Raw genomic sequence first — 19,526 nt, forward strand, 5'->3', positions numbered from 1 at the left:
GCATAGTAGGGCCAAATCCTCTAATATTCATAGGGAATACCTATGTCCTACATATAATACCTCCCCTACCCATTCATGCTGTATGAGTTGTACTTATCCTGTAAAACTTTGTTTAAATATTAATTGCTCTGGGAAACATTTCTTAACTGTTGTAGTGAGAATGAACTACTCAGTACCCACTCTCATACTCATAGCACATTGTGCAAATCTCCAATATTGATTGTACTTCACTAATGACATAATAACTGCATGTTTGGTGACATCTCCCCAGCTCTACAGTGCAAGGGCAGGCCTCATGTACCTCTTGCAAAGCAGAGCTGGAGCCTAAGTAGGTACCACATGATGCTGAGTGGCTGAAAGATGACTATGGAAGCAGAATTGGAGTGGCAAACTCTTAGCTTCTTAGAGTTGATGTGGTGGTTTGGCAAATACTAGGAGCAATGAACAAGAAGGAAGCAGGCCCTGACAAAGTGTGTCATTATCATTCCTTACCAACTTCTTAAATGCTCTTTCTATTTGTATGTGCTACCTATTACATTCCTTTTCCCAACTGGTGCTTCAAATCAAATTCCTATCCCCTCACCAAGCTATATCCTATTAAATGCTATATTAGAATGAAGGTTTTTTTTTTTTTTTTTTGAGACAGAGTCTTGCTCTGTCTCCCAGGCTGGAGTGCAGTGGCGCCATCTTGGCTCACTGCAACCTCCACTTCCTGGGTTCAAGCAATTCTCCTGCCTCAGCCTCCCGTTCAAATAAAGCCGAACGAATAATTTGAATTCTTAGTTGGTGTGTTCTACTCTGTAGGTGAACACAGTTCTTTCTAATGTTGCTCAGTGCAAACTACTATGGAGATGAGAAGTAACATTAAAAATAAACTCAATAAGCCAGGGCAAAAGGTTAAGCACAAGACTGTGCTGATGAACATTGAAGTTGAGCTCCTGAGTAGCTGGGACTACAGGTGCATGCCACCACACCAGCTAAGTTTTGTATTTTTAGTAGAGATGGGGTTTTACCATGTTGGCCAGGATGGTCTTGATCTCCTGATCTTGTGATCCACCTGCCTTGGCCTCCCAAAGTGCTGGGATTGCAGGCATGAGCCACTGCGCCCAGCCTAGAATGAGTTTTTAAGGGCAAGCTATTGCTGTATTATCCTTTGAACCTTGAGAGTCTAGTACAGTGATTAGACACAACTCAATAAATGCTCTTATGGGTGAACAAATGAATGAATGGTTACTACATTCATCAGCTTGCTTTCTGTCTGGGGCAGCTAGCTGAAAGAAAGCCTGTAAGGGGATGTGATTCTGGGTAGGCAATTAGAAAAACAGACCACAGAATAGTTGGGGGTGTGGAAAATCCCTCTATATAAGAATTGTTCACCTCATCATTTCCTTGGAGGCTGGGCCTAACTGGGAGAAGAACCAGACCCCAGAACCAGGACCATTGCTACCATTACTAATATTTTTGTTGGCTATTTAATTTTATAATTAGACTTTAGTTTTCTAAAATCTCATTCTTTATCATATAAGCTGAAAGTCTCTCACCAACATATTATTCACCTTGTATTGCTCTACTTCAGCTGTCTCACTTGTGAGATGGGATCAAAGATACCTTTCACTCAGCCACTTGGAAATTCATTTTGAGGTCTCTAATGTGAAAGGGAATCTCAGCACCAGTTGATGATTGTGCAGCCTATTCAGGCTCTAATTTGATGATGCGCGGCTGTGATATTTTGCTTCAGAACTAAGTTAATGCAACACAGAACATGTTTTCCCCTGAGGCAAAGCAGCTTGCTTGTGTGTAGCAGACTGTGCTCAGTCCTTAGCATGAATCATAAACAGATACTTCTCAAGCCACATCACTCCCATTATGAGAAAAATTATTGGATTTTTAGTCTTGGGTGGGTAAAGAAAAAGTAGCCTGCAGCTACATGGCATAACAAAATGTTGTTGTAAATTTCTGATGCTCGAGTGATGGGTTGGTATTACTCACTGCTCCTAAGAGCAACAATTACATTATAATATTGTCCTTTTTGTGTCCTAAAACAGAATCCTATGTGTAACAGAAAGGTGACTTAATGGTCTGAGATTTTCAATATTTGGGGGTGTTCATAGTTTTTAAGTACTGGCAAGATAAATTTAATTAAGGTATAGTAATAAAAGAATAATATGGCAGCAGTAATTGTAACACTAGAGATTGAGTTCAATTTTCCATTGGTTTGCTGTCCATACAAATGCATTTCCATACTTGTGGGAAAGGTGTGTCAACATCTATAGATCACCACAAAGCTCTAGTTTTGTCCACCTTTGTCAGACACAATCTTGTGAACTTGAATTGACATGCTCTTTCACATAGGACAAAACTGGGGAATCAAAAATAGTCCTACGAAGAGAGTGAGTAGTCAAGGAATACTCCTATAATTGAATAGAGCTCCATGTTTGTTCATTGCTTTCAATTTCTTACATCATTTTCTTATCTGCGATCTCCTTTATTTTTAATCCCAGCAGCCTTGTGTGTGGGGTAGAGAAAGGGTCAGTGTCTTCTTTTATACACAGAGGAGTTCATCCACAAATACATTAAGCAACTTGTCTCAGGTCACTCAGATAGTTACTGACATTGTCAGGAGGAGAGCCCCAGCTGGTATCCAGACTCCTGGCTGGCAATGGATGTTGTTGAAAGTTGCAAGCACAGAAGGAATTGAACCTTTTAAATAGCACGTTTGCATCTGGAGTGGTCCAGGGACATTGCTGAAAGGATGGAAACATAACCTAGATGGCCCCCTGATAAAAATCAAAGTTCTATGTTATTCCATGTGGTTACGATTGTGCAAGCATATTAGCAATTAAAAGCTGCTGAGTAACCTTAGTTTTTCCACGAGATCATTTTCCAGGAGACGAAGAATTAGTATCCGTACAAAGGGACAAAGATGGAGGGGAACAGGACTTTTACCCTAGGTCTGTCATGGTGTGAACACCTACCCAGGTCAGCTCACCTACTGAGAGCTGAGTGCTCTCATTGAGGCCACGTTATTGTATGTTACAGTCCAGCTGGCTCTAACCTGATGATGCATTTTTCAAGAGAATCATTGATCACTGTTGAATAAATAAATTGCTGTTGTCCCCATGGCTTTGAGCTATTATCTGTGAGAGAAGCAGCTTGGGGCAAATTGCCACCTGCTATACAGAGTATATGCTCTTTTAATTTTTGATTTATGGTTCATATTTGAAACTGCTTTTTGTTTTCTTGATCCATGATATCTCTCTTCTGATTGGCAATCATGTGACCTCCATTGCCCTGTTTCTCTGGATAGACTCCTGTCTCTTTAATGTGCCTCTCAGAGCCTCCTAAAGTGGATTTCATCAATAACATGTAGCCTATAGTTCAAGACAGACCATTCCAATATAAACTCTAAATTTGGTAAAAATCCACTTCATGTGAGGTAGTAAAAGAGTGATGAAAGTCTTTTTTTTAAAAATTTTATACATTTCAAGATCAACATATCTAAAAGACAATAATGGCTTCCTCCTGCAAGTTCCTGGATGAGCTTAGGTATTTTGTTGGTTAGATTCCATCTACTTATCTGGAACCTCTTTTCTGAACTTTTAAGGTTAAGTTTTGAGCTTGCTTTTTACCCCTTGCTTAGCCTACAGCCCACTAGATCAATATTTCTCAAATTCGAGTTTCAGAAATGCTGGAGTGTCTAAGGAACATTTTTTGCAGGATTTGAGAATTCCTGCAAAAATTTGGATTTATGTTTTAATAAATAGAAAAATTAATGGGTGTAGTGGATATTTATTGGTGGTTGTTTGGCACATCTTTTTCATTCTTCCTTGATAACAGTACCACCAATTTCCTTTGGAAACCACTTCTCTCTTTCTTCAGGTACATAACTTGAGTGAGGTTAATCTTATCCATGGTTCCTGGCCTTAGCTCTGATTGTGATCAGTGTATCCCCGCTTGTTGGTCTCAGGGATGAGCACGTAATCTGGTCAGAGCCGATGGGGAAGGTTTGCTCAGGATTCTTTCACTTATGACCTAGTTTAACTTAGATTTTCTTTTATTTGTAACCAAAAGAAATCCTGACAGGTGCATAGATCATTTGGATGAATTTAGCGCCCATGTTTGTGTTTGTTTCCAGTATCTTTTGTGTCAAGTAATACTACTTAATTATCTTGAGCTAATAAGAAAATAATAGAGGTCAATTTAATATATAAATGATGCACATTTTATAAATGAAGGTTTTGTAGTAATCGAATAGAGAGAAGTGAGTCATCAAATAGTGTCTACCCTTTGAAGCCTGCAGAACCTGAAAGGATCCATACCATAGTTATGGGTGCCAAGTTCAGACTGCAAACAGTGATCAATTCTGAGCAACATACCACCATCCATCACATTAAATTAAGATTGCTAATTAAAAACTTATTGGCTTGAAGTGTTGTTTGTATTTAATTTAAAACATTTTTAGTTGCTTAAGAACTATAAGCATAAGGACTTTTACAGCTATAGGTTTAAGGCTGTACAGATTTGAGTGACAAAATAAAATTAAGTTAACACCAGGGGATCAAGGAGAAATGTGTTTTTTTCGTTACAGGGAATCTGCTCATTTCTTAAGTTTTAGAAGTGGTGCCATCAATGGTAAAAGGTATATTTATGTTAAAAAAGACAGACTATGGAATTGGATAAACATCCTCCTGTCTGGAATATTACTGAATTGTACCAAGCTATATAAAAATCTACCTCTAAAATTTCAACCCTTAAAAAGGAGCTTCTCTCTTCTAAGGAGGACAAAATATTTTGCAAGCATAACTGCTCTCATTTTCAACTCACTAGTGTGTGAGTTTATTCAGCAGATGTGAATATGAGCCTGAGCTCAGCAAGTTCAGTTCCTTTGGTTGCAAGTGCAGCTCATGTTGCTCCAACCTCTTCTGTAAAATTTGCTTCTAGAGAAAAGCCAAGCACTACCAGGGGTCAGTGAAGGTGAGGTGAGTTTGTGAAGGGTGGTGGAATATGGGGTGACTACTCCTTTTTCTGTAACACTGCTCTCACCAACAAACCCCAGTTGGGTGCATCCCAAGATCTCAATTTGCACTACAATTTGGAAATCACAAGTTGTTCCATGAGAAAGGTGGGATTTTGTATCACTTGTACTGTGTTATACAAGGAGCAAACTTTTTCTAGAAGGAGGCTTTGGGTTTACCTATTGCAAGAACAAATTCAGGTCCATTTGGGTCAGCTCAACAAATACTTTCCAAGTTCCTACTATGTGCCCAGCATTGTGCTGTATACTTGGGGACACAAGGAAATACTAAAATATGATCATTTCCCTGAAAAAGTTTGTAGTATAGTGAGAATGTAGATTTCAATGCAATGTGGTAATCCAATGACAGGGGTAATCAGAGAATACTACAGAAACCCACTTACCCACATCATCTGTGAGTTCACAGGAAAAAGGAAGACAAAACTAGTTATTTTCACTGTCTTACACACACACACACACACACACACACAGAGTTGTTTGACTAATTATTTTGGCTTTAGAATGGTTGCATTGACATTACCTCAGGTAGATTCGGGTAGACTTAGATATTGATAAGTGAAAGATGGAGATTCAACTATGATACCCAATAGATGGAGACTGTTGCTGATTTTTTGGTTATCGTATTTTAAAGTTGTCAGCAATGCCTTTGGCCAGTTTATCTCTGCCGTTGGAGAAAACAACGGCAGAGAGTTTTTATGTGGTGAGACAATTACAACTTTTGTTTTCTCACCTATGTGCAATGAAAACTACTTTCTTGCCAACAAAGCTGTAGGACCATTTTCCTGATGATACCCTGGCAGGTTGGAGCCAGAGTTTGCTTTCAGTATTCATCAGAGTCCCGCTTTCCTTGCTCATTAATTCTGGGTAAATTTTAAGTTGTTTCTTCAAGTACTGAAACTCTCAGACTGAAGTATAACAGAAATAACACAGGGGAGGAGGTGGCTGTCTTTGTTGAAACCATTTGGAAGAGAGAAGGGCTGGTGTGGAAGTGTGAATTTGCAGTTGTTGATGAATGAACCAGGAGACTGCAGCCTGTGGCCATTGTAATTCCCCCCAGCCCCCAAGCATCATAAAAAGAGTGTTGTAGTTTCAGAGCTGAATTTCTCTCTGTTTGCTTGGCTTTGTAATTTGGGCCAATATGTCTGGGCTGTCAAAAACCACATCCTCTTTATTTTAAGTCTTTCCATTTTTACCTTTCATTTCCTCACCGGCCAAAGCTCTTCTTGTGCTAATTCTATTGATTCCTTCTTTTTCTTATTTGGAAAACAAAGCACCTTGAAAGTCACTCCATATAATGTGGGTAGCCTGCGTCTGAGGAGGCTTTTCTGTAAAATTGAGAATTTTGAATGCATTGCTAGAGGATATTTTTCTTTAAATTTCTTTTTGGGTCTTATCTAATGGCACATTAAAAGTCGGCTGGGTACTAAATTTATTGAGAGGTCCAGAAAAAGTGCAATTTAATCTAATAAAGATTTAATTATGCTGGGAAATAATGAGGTCTAAAGATCCCAGTGGAGTGCTCGCTGGGTTAACTTGCTCCTGTGATAGATTTCTTAGCATTGGTGTAAAAAATCATGGGGGACACTCTCTGTGTGTGCATTCCTCTTTGGAAGAAAATGAGACTACTTGAAGGGGGGAATGTGTTTGCATAAGTATTGCTTAAAGGTATTTATGAAAAATAGATCTACGTTTGCATAGTCTTCTGAAAGGGGCCTCAAAGATTACACTCTTCAAGAGAACAGTCATAACAGAGCAGCTAATTCTGGCTTGGCTAAATAATTCATCTACTCCTCCACCATTTATTGAATACATCATGGGGAATTTGAAGCAGTGAAGCCTAAGGCAGTGTCTGCCTGCTTTGTTCAATGTTCTTAGCTTAGAGTTTCAAAAATATAGTTGTTAATAGATGTTACATAGGAAACAAAGGAGAGAGAGGGTGGTGTAGAGAGGACCTGTGGTTAGGTGTTAGGAAAACACTGCTAACTTATATTCCTCTAGGAAACATATAGTAATTAGTTAAAGGCTCTAAGATGTCTTTCTATAAAATAAGTGTTTACCTTTATTCAGTGTAGAGGTTTTAGTTCTTACAGGATCATGGATGTCCTCTTTCTTTCCAGTGAATATCTATACATCTCGTGGAACACATTACAAGAACAAAATAGTCATATGGGTTGTTCTCGTTGTCTAAGATGGTTGGCTGATATGTTGTGATGTCGTATAGATACAACCTCACACAGGGCAATGATTCTCAAAGGGTGATATATTTGTAATAAAACAATGCCTTTCAAGACAGGGTTTCTTTACTGCTATGCTAATGGCTTGACCAAAAGGAGCCCAAGCGTCCTGCCTCAGGGTGGAATGGCAGCCTGGACCCCATGTCTGTTTGGCTAAAGTACCTCCTGCCTCCATTCCTTCCCTTTCAGGTTTAAGGACGCCCCTGTGTCACACAAACTACAGAAGCAGCTTCCTTTCTTGCTTATTTGTTCCACCTCTGCGAAGGCCATAATCAGGATATGTAACGTGTCCACTCATTTTTCTCTAAGAGCGTTCACTGTGGGATTTGGACAAACCTTCTTAATCTCTGACTTCTCTCCATTCTCAGCCTACTCTTAGAATAAGGATCACAAGACATGAGATAGGAAGCCAAAACCTGGTAGAGACAAATATATGAATTTTTCGTATCAACTCTTTGAACTACTTAATATAAGGCATTCTATAGATAATAATTCCCTTGATCGTATCCAGGCAAATCCCATTTTATTGTGCTTTGCTTTATGTGTTTTGCAGATATTTCATCTTTTACCAGTTGTAGGTTTGTGGCAACCCTGCACTGTGTAAGTCTATGGGCACCATTTTTCTGGCAGCATGTGCTCACTTCGTGTCTGTGTCAGCATTTTTTAGCAAAACATATTTTAAATTGTTATGTATATTGCTTTTTACACATAATGCTAGTACACACTTAATAGACTATAGCATAGTGTAAACATAATTTTTATATTATGTTTTATATGCACTAGGAAGCCAACAAATTGTGCGACTTATTTTATTGGGGTAGTCTGAAACCAAACCTGCAAATTCTGAGGTATGCGTGTATTCTTTCCTTAGTATTTTCATATACATTATCTTATTTGATCCCAACTCAATTTTTGAGAGACATCCTGATGAGAAGAATTAACACTAGATGGATTAGACAGATTTGGAAAATAACGAGCACCCAAGACTAGAAGCAACGGCTCTCCAGTTAAACGCTTTTCCTATGATGCTAGAGTTTCCCAAAGGTTGTAGATTTTAGGGAGGGCACAGACATGGCAGTAAATGCCATTGAATCATAAGGTAAGAATATTAGGGATGTGCTGGTTTCTTTCTCTTTTTGTTTTTCTATTTGATATAGAGTCTGTCACCCAGGCTGTAATGCAGTGGCATGGTGAGCTGCAGCCTTGACCTCCTGGACTCAAACAATCTTCCTGTCTCAGCCTCCTGGGTGGCTGAGCAGTTTCTTTTTTAAACACTTTCAAATACATAAAGGAGAAAGCCTCTGATTCTAGTCTTTAACCTCTCTCTAATATTGGCACATCTCCTCTTTCAATAAATACAGAGCAGGACACAGATAACAGTGCATTAGTTTCATTTCACAGTTACCTTCTATTTGTGGTGACATGAAGTTTTCTTTTAATTGAATACATTATATTTATTTTGTTGACCAGATAATATATACAAATGGTACAATGTTCAAAAAGTACACAAAGGTAATATACCTTTACCTGCTAGCCCCCCAAATTTTGTACAAAGGTAATTGTGGTCAGTAGTTTCTTATTGGTATTTCCACAGATATATTCATAGTAATATGTATGTATATGTGTGTATTTTTATATAGATTTTTAAAACCTAAGTGGTAGTAAATTAGTCATGCTGTTCTGCACTTTGACTTTTTTTTCTATTAAATATTTATCTGGGGGTCCCAGATATGGCAAAAATTTTTAAGCAGGTTCACAGAAGACTGGTCACCTGCTTATAACTTGCTATCTCTCTCCTCTTGCCTGTAAATGGACACAAAAACATGTCACTGAAAGTTTTGCTCCAAAAATAAAACTTGAATGATTAATGAGGTCTAATCATATGCTTTTTGCCTCCACATTTTTTTCTTTTGCCCTTTGTGTTGTCTTGTTCCCTATGCTCTCCTTGAATGAGGGGAAGGACCAGACTCTTACTTACCCAGCAGAGAGGAGATCTGCCAGGAAGGAATAGTACTAGTGAACATTTTCATCCCTTAATGGTTAAGAGGAGCCTGGAGCATGAATCAAACTAACAAAAGGGGAAAAATAGTTTTTCCTAATGGCTCTCTCTCTGAAAAGCTAAGGTAGATTTAACAAGAAGACGTCGATAGTCTGATTTGCTGAGGTCTATGAAAACCAGTCCACAAATTTCAGCCATTCATGAAAACTGTTCTAAGCCATAAGCAGTCAACCTGACACAAAGTTCGGACTCATCAGCTTTTGTCCCACCCTAATAGGTAGGCAGGCTTTTCTTCCTTTGCTAGGTTTTCACCAAAAATATGTTTTGGCAGACATAATCTGTTTAAAAACCAACCTGATGTCAATTTCTATGAACTTGAGCACATTCAACCTCAAATAGATATGTATTCAGAGGGTCAAAAATATCTGCTTAACTGTGGTCCAGGCTGGTTGGCTCAGTTCTTTAGTGGATGTGGCCAAGGATAGGAGTTAAATCTTTATGTGGGGCAGAGGAAAAGCTGCTTGCTTGCCCCAGATGATGCTATGGATCTCAGCAGATCCCCTGTAGAGCACGGGAGGTTTGCCTCAGACCAGTGACAGGTGGTCTAGTACAGACTCCTTCCCACAACTGGGAGAGAGACTCCAACCAACTGAAAGTACATATGATTAAGTAATTCATTATGCATCTCCATAAAAGTTACAAAATGCTCTGCTAATTTCAACAGCCTTCTTGAGAACATGAAATAATAATGCTGGCTGTTATTATTAGCACCTCCATTTTATATAGGTCAGGAAGCTAGGGCTCAGGGAGGTTGAGAAGTTTGACAACTTCCTAAGGCTAAAGGGCAAATCCTAATTCAAACCAGGGTCCTTTGACCCCAAATCCCATCATGAGTCAGTAGCCCCACCCTCATGCAGATGGGCAATCAGTGCTTCTTAAATCACCTGCCGGCTAGCCCAAACTAACCCTCTCTATCATCTGTTATGATTTAATATGATAATCCCATAGGAAAAAATTTAGGTGGGATGCAATTATATGCCAATCATAGTGTAGGTTTTATTTATTTAAAAAAAAGAACCTCAAATAGTAGCACCTTAGTCCATTGTTTTGCTTACAGCCTTTGCCAATTAAACCTGCATCTGGGAATGGGGTCTAGATATGGCAAAACTGTTGCAGCCTGTGTAACAATGACTGAAGGTCATAGAAGTCATATTTGAAATTGTTCAAAAGGTGATTCTTTATTTCCTCTGCATCATAATTATGAAGGGAAGATCAGAAGCACTATAAAAAACATTTTGTTGGGAGGCTGAGGCAGGTGGATCATGAGGTCAGGAGATCGAGACCATCCTGGCTAACACGGTGAAACCCAGTCTCTACTAAAAATACCAAAATTAGCCGGGTGTGGTGGTGGGCACCTGTAGTCCCAGCTACTCGGGAGACTGAGGCAGGAGAATGGCGTGAACCCGGAAGGCGGAGCTTGCAGTGAGCTGAGATCACGCCAGTGCACTCCAGCCTGGGCGACAGAGCGAGACTCCGTCTCAAAAAAAAAAAAAAGAAAGAAACACTTTGTCACAAGGAAGTTATAGGGCTGTTGAGGGTTTTATCTCACAATTTGCTGCTCAAATATGAACGTTGTAAAGAGGTATGCTGAGGTTTCATTTGTGTTCAAGCTCTTTGAGCTGAGTCAGCTGTTTCCAGAACAAATATAATGCAGCAAGTTCATGTGCTGGGGCAGAACACTGAAATGTGGTGATTATATTCCCCATAGATAATGCTTCTTAAACTGGGGGCATAAAGACATCTGTAGTGTGAACATTACTAGGGCCAGTTTTTATGTATCAGGTAACTAATTCCAGCTGTTAACTATGTCCTCCTCTGCCAAAGACTTTCCCCAAATGTAGCCATTGGTTCCAGGAGTTCTACGCTGAATACTGCAAAAGATGGCCATTATGCAGCCTGTCTGATAGTTTTGTCTGATAGTTTATTTACAGGCAAATGCACTCCTCCTACAAAGTCTCTTCTACAGTGAGCACAAATTTACCTTGATGCTGCACTTTATGGATCAGAACATTTGACCCTTGATACCCAACTCCTTCCCTGACCACACTTTCCTCAAGGCATCCAAGTGCAGCAGCATATAAAGGCATTTGTCCAAAATATTTGAGGCCCACCCAAGGGTCAGATAAATGTCATCATGTTTATTTTCTGGAATCAGGGTTAAGGGATAGGGTTAAGGGAAAGATTTTTCCTGTTTCAACTCAAGTTTACTGGAAATGAAGCAATCACATTTTATGCAAAATACTGTTTTTCTGTCTCTGTGTGACATCATAATCTGGCATGCTCTAATGAGTCTTTGATTGTCTTACCTTTGAATGTCATGTGCCTGTTTTATTTGTATTCCAAGATGCAGTATTTCAGAAAGAGGACAAAAAACTACCCATTTGGGCAAGGTGGGGTGGCTTGACTTTCTCTGGTTGTGGGTAACTAACACTGGCAAATGTAGGCTTATTAAGTCCTGGGTAATGTATATCCATTGGTCTGAAATTCAAATTCTTATAGATATTTGGGTCACTTTAATAATTCTCTGGAGATGAGAATAAACTTGGAGCAGTGAGTGATTTAAAACAAATGACCAACACACCATCAGATTGTTCACTGATGCAAACTGCACCAAATTCAGAAAGTAAGGAGGCTCAAAAAGTAATATAAGCCATGGTATCATTGGCTCCTCACCCACCCCCGCATGAGAGAAATATGTATTTCATATGAAGCCTAAAGCATATGCATGGGTGAATCAGGCAGTCCCCAGTTGGTGAATGGTATTCATTATTTCCAGAACACACAATCTTCACCCCTTTTTGGCTTTTCACAAAGTGTTCCCTCTTCTTGAAATTCTTCCCTTCTTACATCATTTATTGGAATCCTTCTTTGGAAGAATCTTAGTTATCCTCCAGTGTCCTTTACCTCATCTTCCATAGTATTAGAATGTTGAGCTGGACATGTGGCTATCCAGAAAAATACTACCTTTCCCAGCTTCTCTTGCAGCTAGATGTGACTCTGTGACTAAGTTCTGGCCGATGACATATAAGCAGAAGCGTCAGCTGGCAGCAACTGGAAATCTCCATTGCTATTTTTTGCTCCTTCTGTCCTGCTTTGCTGATCGGCATGGAGAGACAAGGTGGCTGCAGCTGGAGGAGCTACCCCAGAGCCTGTGGGGGGATGGAGAATGGAGTAGGTTCATGGGGAAGCAATAAGATAGAAGGAGCCTGAATCCCTAATACTGTGGGAAGCCAACTCAGCATTGGATTGCCTGCCTCTTGACTCATACTATAGAAAAAAACAAACTTGTAAATTATTTAAGTCACTGTTATATTGGGGTTCCTGTCACTCACATTGAACTTAATTGTAAGAAATCCACTGTCTCATGCTTTAAAGCTCACTTTAATGCCAACATCACGTGCAAGAACATGGGCTTGAGCAAGAGCTCTGGGCTCCAAGTTTTCATAATATATGGTGGTCTTTTTCGTCCTCTCTCTTTTCTTTCCACACAGGCTTCTTGAAGCCCACTCTTCTTCCGGCTGCCTTCTAGTCAGTATACTTATTTTCATAAGTGGGCATCAACATTTTTAAGGAATTTTCTGGAAAACCATGTTTTTCCTTTGAAAGAGGCATGCAATGTGGCTGCCTGGTGGCCCCATCTCGAGCTCATTTGAATTCTTCCCTTCACGTTCTAGAAACTCTGTAGGACGTTGTAAGCTAATGTTCTCTAAATCTACTGGCCATAACCTATATCCCATCTGTGATTCCAGGTTCTGTGGCCTCAGGACCCCTGACACCTCATGATGTTCCTCAGAGCTCTGTTTCCCACCCCCTGTAGTCTCCAGCTGCATGCCAGGGTCTTAGGCACAGCTGCCCACCCCCAACCCCCCAGTGTCTCTCTGGCTACCTACTATGTTCAGACACTGTCTTGGCATGGGGATCCAGCAACAACCAGTGCAAGACAGCCTCTAGACATCTTCCTGGGCTCCAGCTTTCAGGCACATTTTTACCCCAAAGGGCTTTCCAATGCAAAAATTAACACCTGGCCCCATCAGTCTTGATGCTTTCTATTCAGTCAAGTTAGCTTTATCAGAGTCTGTCACAGTCAATTTTTATTATTTTTGTTTTACTGGATTATAAAAATTATACTACTGTAGAAAATGTGGAACTACTGAAACATATAAAGAAGAAAATAAGAACTTCTCCTAATCGCTCAACCTAGAGAGAAGCATATCTAATGTATTTATTTCCTTGTAGCTTCTTTGTGTGTATGTTTGTGCATTCTTAATTTTATGGTGTAATACCATACAATGTATGCAGTTCTTGCATCTATCTACCTACCTGTCTATTTATCTATGGCTGCAAAACACTCTATTTTGTGGATATACTAGAATTTACTCAACTAGTTTCTTACTGTTTAATATTTAAATTTCCTGGCCAGGCACGGTGGTTCACACCTGTAATCCCAGCACTTTGGGAGGCCGAGGTGGGTGGATCATAAGGTCAGGAGTTCGAGACCATCCTGGCTAAGATGGTGAAACCTGGTCTCTACTAAAAATACAAAAAATTAGCTGGGCATGGTGACAGGCACCTGTAGTCCAAGCTACTCTGGAGGCTGAGGCAGGTGAATCACTTGAACCCAGGAGGCGGAGGTTGCAGTGAGTCAAGATTGCACCACTGCACTCCAGCCTGGGCAACAGAGTGAGACTCTGTCTCAAAAAAAAAAAAAAAAATTTAAATTTCCCCCCAATTTTACCTGACTATAAGTAACATTGTGATTAACATTTATGTGTACCTATGTTTTCCATTTGGATTATTTCCTTAGGTTTGAATTTTTGAAGGTCAAAGAATTTTAGATTCTTAGGAAGTTTAAGTCCTCTTGATACATATTGCAAATTGCTTAACAGAAAGTTGTCTCAATTTCTTATTCTCCTATTAATGTCTCATTACTCTCTTCCATGCCTAGAATTTTTATCATTAAAAATCTTTACTAATGTAAAAGTTTAAAAAATTGTCTCATTTTAAAATTTGCATTTCTTTGATTACAATGAAAGTTGAATACATTTTTAATCATTCATTTACATTTCTTCTTTATGTCTCTTTAAGTCCTTGGCCTATTTATCTGGGATCATGTTTTCTTAAAAATTTGAGAAAACTCTATAAAAAAAATTTTAACCCTTTGCCTGTCATATTTAGTGAACATATTTTTCCCCCAGTTTTCAATTTGCCTTTTAATTTGTGTCACATTTGTGATTAACAACCATGGAAATAATTATGGAAGCAAGTATAATTTTTGTGACATTTTTCATAAATTTTAACTTCAGACAATCTCTATCCCCTCCTCAAAGTCTAACCAATAGTAAGAGGGTCTCACTTTCCCCGACCTGTTTACAGTGATATTCTCATTAAATTCTATGTATTACACTCTCTATCTCCTAAGGATCACTTTTGGGCTTTTGTTCTGTTTCATTGATTTATCTTTTTTGTACCAATATTACTGCCTTCATTCTTATAGCTTTACAATGAATAATTTCTATTTAATAATTATTGAACATCTACCACATTCAGAAACTGTCTTGGCTTAGGATACACCAATAAAACAGATGGACATATTCCTGCCTTCACATTTGTGGTTTTTAGTGCAGGAAACAGGAGAATAATTGATATGTACAACTAGTGAAACATGAGTGGTGAGAAGAGAGGCACAAGCTCCTGGGGAACGTATGATAAGGGTCCACCCTGGGCTCAGGGTGAATGAAGTTTCCTAGACAAGTGACATCTAAGTTTAGTCCTGAGGTTCAGGATAGGCAAACAGAGGAGGGAGAACAATAATGAAGATAGACAGAAGTGCATGCAGAAAATCCAAGCGTCAATAGCAAGCCTGATGCATTTGAGAAATTGAAAATAATTCTGTGTTGCTGGAGCAGAATGTGATTGGTTCTAAACAGGGACCAGAGTAAGAGTCACTCAAACCGTGTGAAGGAGCATGTAGTTTACCCTGGGGACCATGGAAAATTTTGAAAGGGTTTAAGTAAGAAAGTTACTTAACTTGATTCATAGTCAAGAAAGATCTGTCTGGCTGCAATATGGAGGGTTGGTTGGAATGGGGGCAAAAATTAAGGCAGGGAAATAGCTTGTTCTAATAAACCAGAAAGGAAAATGATGGTGGCCTGCACTAGGGTAGTGGCACCAGAAATAGAGGGATATGGATGGATTTGACAAATGTGGTCTATTTGGAAGACATTTAGGATGTAAACTTGACAGAAATTGGTGATTGATTAGATACGCTGAATTAGTGAGGAATCAGGGATGACACCACAGGACAATTGGGTACATGTTGGTTTCATTCACTGAAAAGGAATGCAGGAAAGATGGGCTTGAGGTGGGAAGATGCTACAGTTTGAGATGTGTGTGGTACAACCTAAAGCTGCATGCCCAATAGACAATTGGCTGTGCTGGCCTAGAGGCTGGAGGAGAGTGAGATGAACTAGGGATATAAATTCGTGTGTCTTCAGTATTTAAAGGGTGAGTAAAGCTGTAAGAGTGAATGTAACCCAACCTCTCACACAGAGTCTGCAGAATGAACATAGCAGAGGATCTAAGGAGCAACAATATTTAAGGTACAAACAGAGGATGGGAAGCTACAAAATTAGACACAGGAAGCAGCCAGAGGGAGGGCAGAAATAAGGGAGAGTGTGGTATCTTTGAAGTGGAAGAAAGATGGATATTTGGAAAATGGGACTGGCATGACATTGATGCTCTGAGACATCAGGCAAGATAATGACTGCAAGGTTGTCACTGGTATTAAGAAGTATGTTAATGACCTTGAAGAGAACAGTTTTGGTGGCCTAGAGAGGGCATAGGATAGACTGCAGTCAACTGGAAAATAAGAAGTAAGCAAACAGAAATGGGCAGTGTTGACAACTATAAAAGTTTTGAGTATGAAGGGAAGAGCAGAAGAGGATAATGATAGCTGAAAGGAGATGTGAGACCAAGGAAATTCAGACTTTCCATCCAGAAATATTTTATGACTCTCCTTTTATTTACTCAAATATTTTCTAGTTCTTGGAAAAGTTTGTAGCTATCCGTGTGGATGTTGCAGATTTCTTGTATCGTTGTTCCTGTTTAACTGGTGCTTTCTCCCCTAATTTTAAATGTAATCTTTTTTAACCTTATTACTTTATATTTACTAACCTATTGTTAGTAAATGGAAATCATGCTGATTCCCTATATTTTTATACTTATCTTGTTTCCATCCACTTTATGAAAATATATTATTATATAATTATTTTGCATAATATAATTATATGATATTATAATAGTTATAATCAATTATATTGAGTTCTCCATGTATATAAGTACTGATCTTTCATAGTGTAAATGTCATTCCTTTTCATAGTTTTTCAAGGAAGGGACTGCGCCCTAAAATATAAAATTAAAGGGTCCTGGGAAATCACCTAGACTAATATTTTTATTTCTTAAAATGAAGAATTCAGGTTAAGAGCAGTTAAGCCTCTACAGTCTTATTCATGCCAGGTCCTGTTACAACACCATAAAATGGATATACATTCCATTTTCATCAGAAGACAACAGCTTCAGGATGGGGGACAGAATATTAAAGGTTTATATCACATTAATTATGGTAATAAAATACAACTAATTCAGTGAGATCTCCAGCAACATCCTCAGAAACTAATTAAATTTTGCTGTTGCTCCTGGTGCCAACATGCACTGTTTGGTGACCTTAACTAGCTCATTCTGCTTCTCCCCATTTGCAGGGTAACTGAACTGGGTTTTATGCCATTATCCCTCTCTTGTTGATACCCACCACTGGAGAAAAGTATTCTTGCCCCCTCTGCTGGCACTTAACACCTTTTTCAATGGATTTCTGAAAATAATCTGGCTCTCTAAAGTTATAATTCCCACTGCCAATAAATGTGATACAGGTTCCCGGGCAGGGAGTCCCTTTGAAAGACCCCACGTGCTTTCTGTAAAACTTTACCAATTTTATTAAACCATAATTTACATCTAATAAGACAACTAAATATATGTACTAGTCAAGGTTCTTGAGAGAGAATATATACATATGTTCAGACAGAGAGAGAGAGAGAGAGTTATTAGAAGGTATTGGCTCATGCAATTATGGAGGCTGAGAAGTTGCACTATCTGCCCTTGACAAGCTGGAGGCCCAGGAAAGCCAGTGATGCAGTTTGAAGGTCTGAGAGCTAGTGGTATAGACTCCAGTCGAGTCAGAGAGACAGGAGTGCAAAGAGTAGGAGAAGATTGATGTCTCAGCTCTGTCAGACAAAGAGAGCAAATTCTCCCATCATCTACCACTTTGTTCTATTCAGACCCTCAGTGGATTGGATGATGCCCACCCACACTGGGGAGGGCAAACAACTTGACTCAGCCTACCAATTTACATGATAATCTCTTCCAGGAACACCCTCACAGACACACCCAGAAATAATGTCTAACCAGCAATCCTGGCAACCCATGAGCCAGTCAAGTTGTCACATAAAATTAACAATTGCAGTATAGCTCAATGAATTTTGACAAATGTCTACACCTGCATAACCATCCCAGTCAAACCATGGAACATTTTTGTCTCCCTCAAAATTCCTGTGTACCCCCTTGCTATCAATGCCCCCTTCCTCTCCTCCACTGTATTTCCAGGAAACCAATGATCTGCTGTCACTGTAGATTAATTTTGTTCATGCTACAATCCCAAATAAGGGAATCAAACTGTATGTGGTCTTTTGTGCTTGGATTTTTTACTCAGAATGAAGTTTTAGTTTATTAACATAAAGGAGTCAGTAGTTATCTCCTTTTTATAGCTCAATAGCTTTCTATTTATGAGTATACCGTGATTTGTGTATCCATTCACCTGTTGATGGATGAACATTGGCTTTTTTCCAGTTTGGGCTAATACAAATAAATATGCTGTGAGTAATCATGTACAAACCATTTCTGGTGGGTGAATACCCAAGAGTGAAATTGCTGGGTCATAAGCCAAGTTTATGCGTTTCTCAGCCCTTTCCTCTTTCAAATTACTTGTGGATTTTTTTCATTTCTTTATGTAATTATGTCAACTTTCAGTGTCCATGTTTCAAATCAATGTTGTTAGAAAGATACAGGTTTAGAATTATAATAAATTCCTGGGGAGTTGTTACTTTTATCACTGAATAAAGCTTTCATTTTTCTAATAATATTTTTGCCTGAAACTCTATTTTACTGGATATTAATATTTTCTCTGGTTAATATTTTAGTAGTTTATTTTACCATTCCTATCATTCAAAATATTTCTTTAAGTTTTCTTAAAATAATATATGACCATAATTTTTAAAAGTCAAATTGTGCTGCAAAGTTTAATGAAAGCCTGAAGTACTCTTTCCTACCACTCCCCAACCACAATCCTCCAGAGCCAACATTTAAAATTATTTTTAGTTTTCCATTCCATTCATATTTTTAAGTACCACATTTATTCTTTTTCTATTTGGGGCATTATCTATTGATTTCCAAGCATGATAGATAAGACCTATTCATTCAGACCTGCTCCCTCATCCTCCTGCTATGGACAGACACAATTCTTGGTTAGATCATTATTCAGAGTTTGTATCACGAGAGTATTGAATGCTATTTACACCTGAGACCTAACAATGTTGTATAATTACATTTAATTTTTTGTACAATGTTGTTCTTTTCAAGTATCAACAACTGCTTCATTTTGCTGTTTTCTTAAAAAAAACTATCACTGATTCTTCCTCAAACTTTTCCACATGGTCATGTATGCTGGATAATCCATCTATTCTGTTTTCTTTCTTTGTGATGTACTCTGGAGTCATCCATTCCTCTGCATTTCTCAGTGATATCTTTCTTCCTTCTTCTCAACATTGTATTTAAGCTTCCTGACTCATTTTACACTACTTAACCCTCCTTTTTCTGAGAAGGATTTCTTTCTCTCTTGGCTCACTACATATACCATACCGATTTATAATCATTTATTTAAACTCAAGTTCCTGAAATAAATACAAATCTTCCTTTCCCTTTTTTTTTTTAACATTTTAAAAAGCAAATGACAACAAAGGAAAGAGAGTAAAAAGGCTGCTGAAGGGTTGTAAGCATGAGAGCAGTGTGTTTTAAACCATCGCTGTTGGCCAGGTGCGGTGGCTCACGCCTGTAATCCCAGCACTTTGGGAGGCCGAGGTGGGCAGATCAC

Source organism: Homo sapiens, chromosome 9 (assembly GCF_000001405.40).
Source record: "Homo sapiens chromosome 9, GRCh38.p14 Primary Assembly".
NCBI classification, from domain to species: Eukaryota; Metazoa; Chordata; class Mammalia; order Primates; family Hominidae; genus Homo; species Homo sapiens.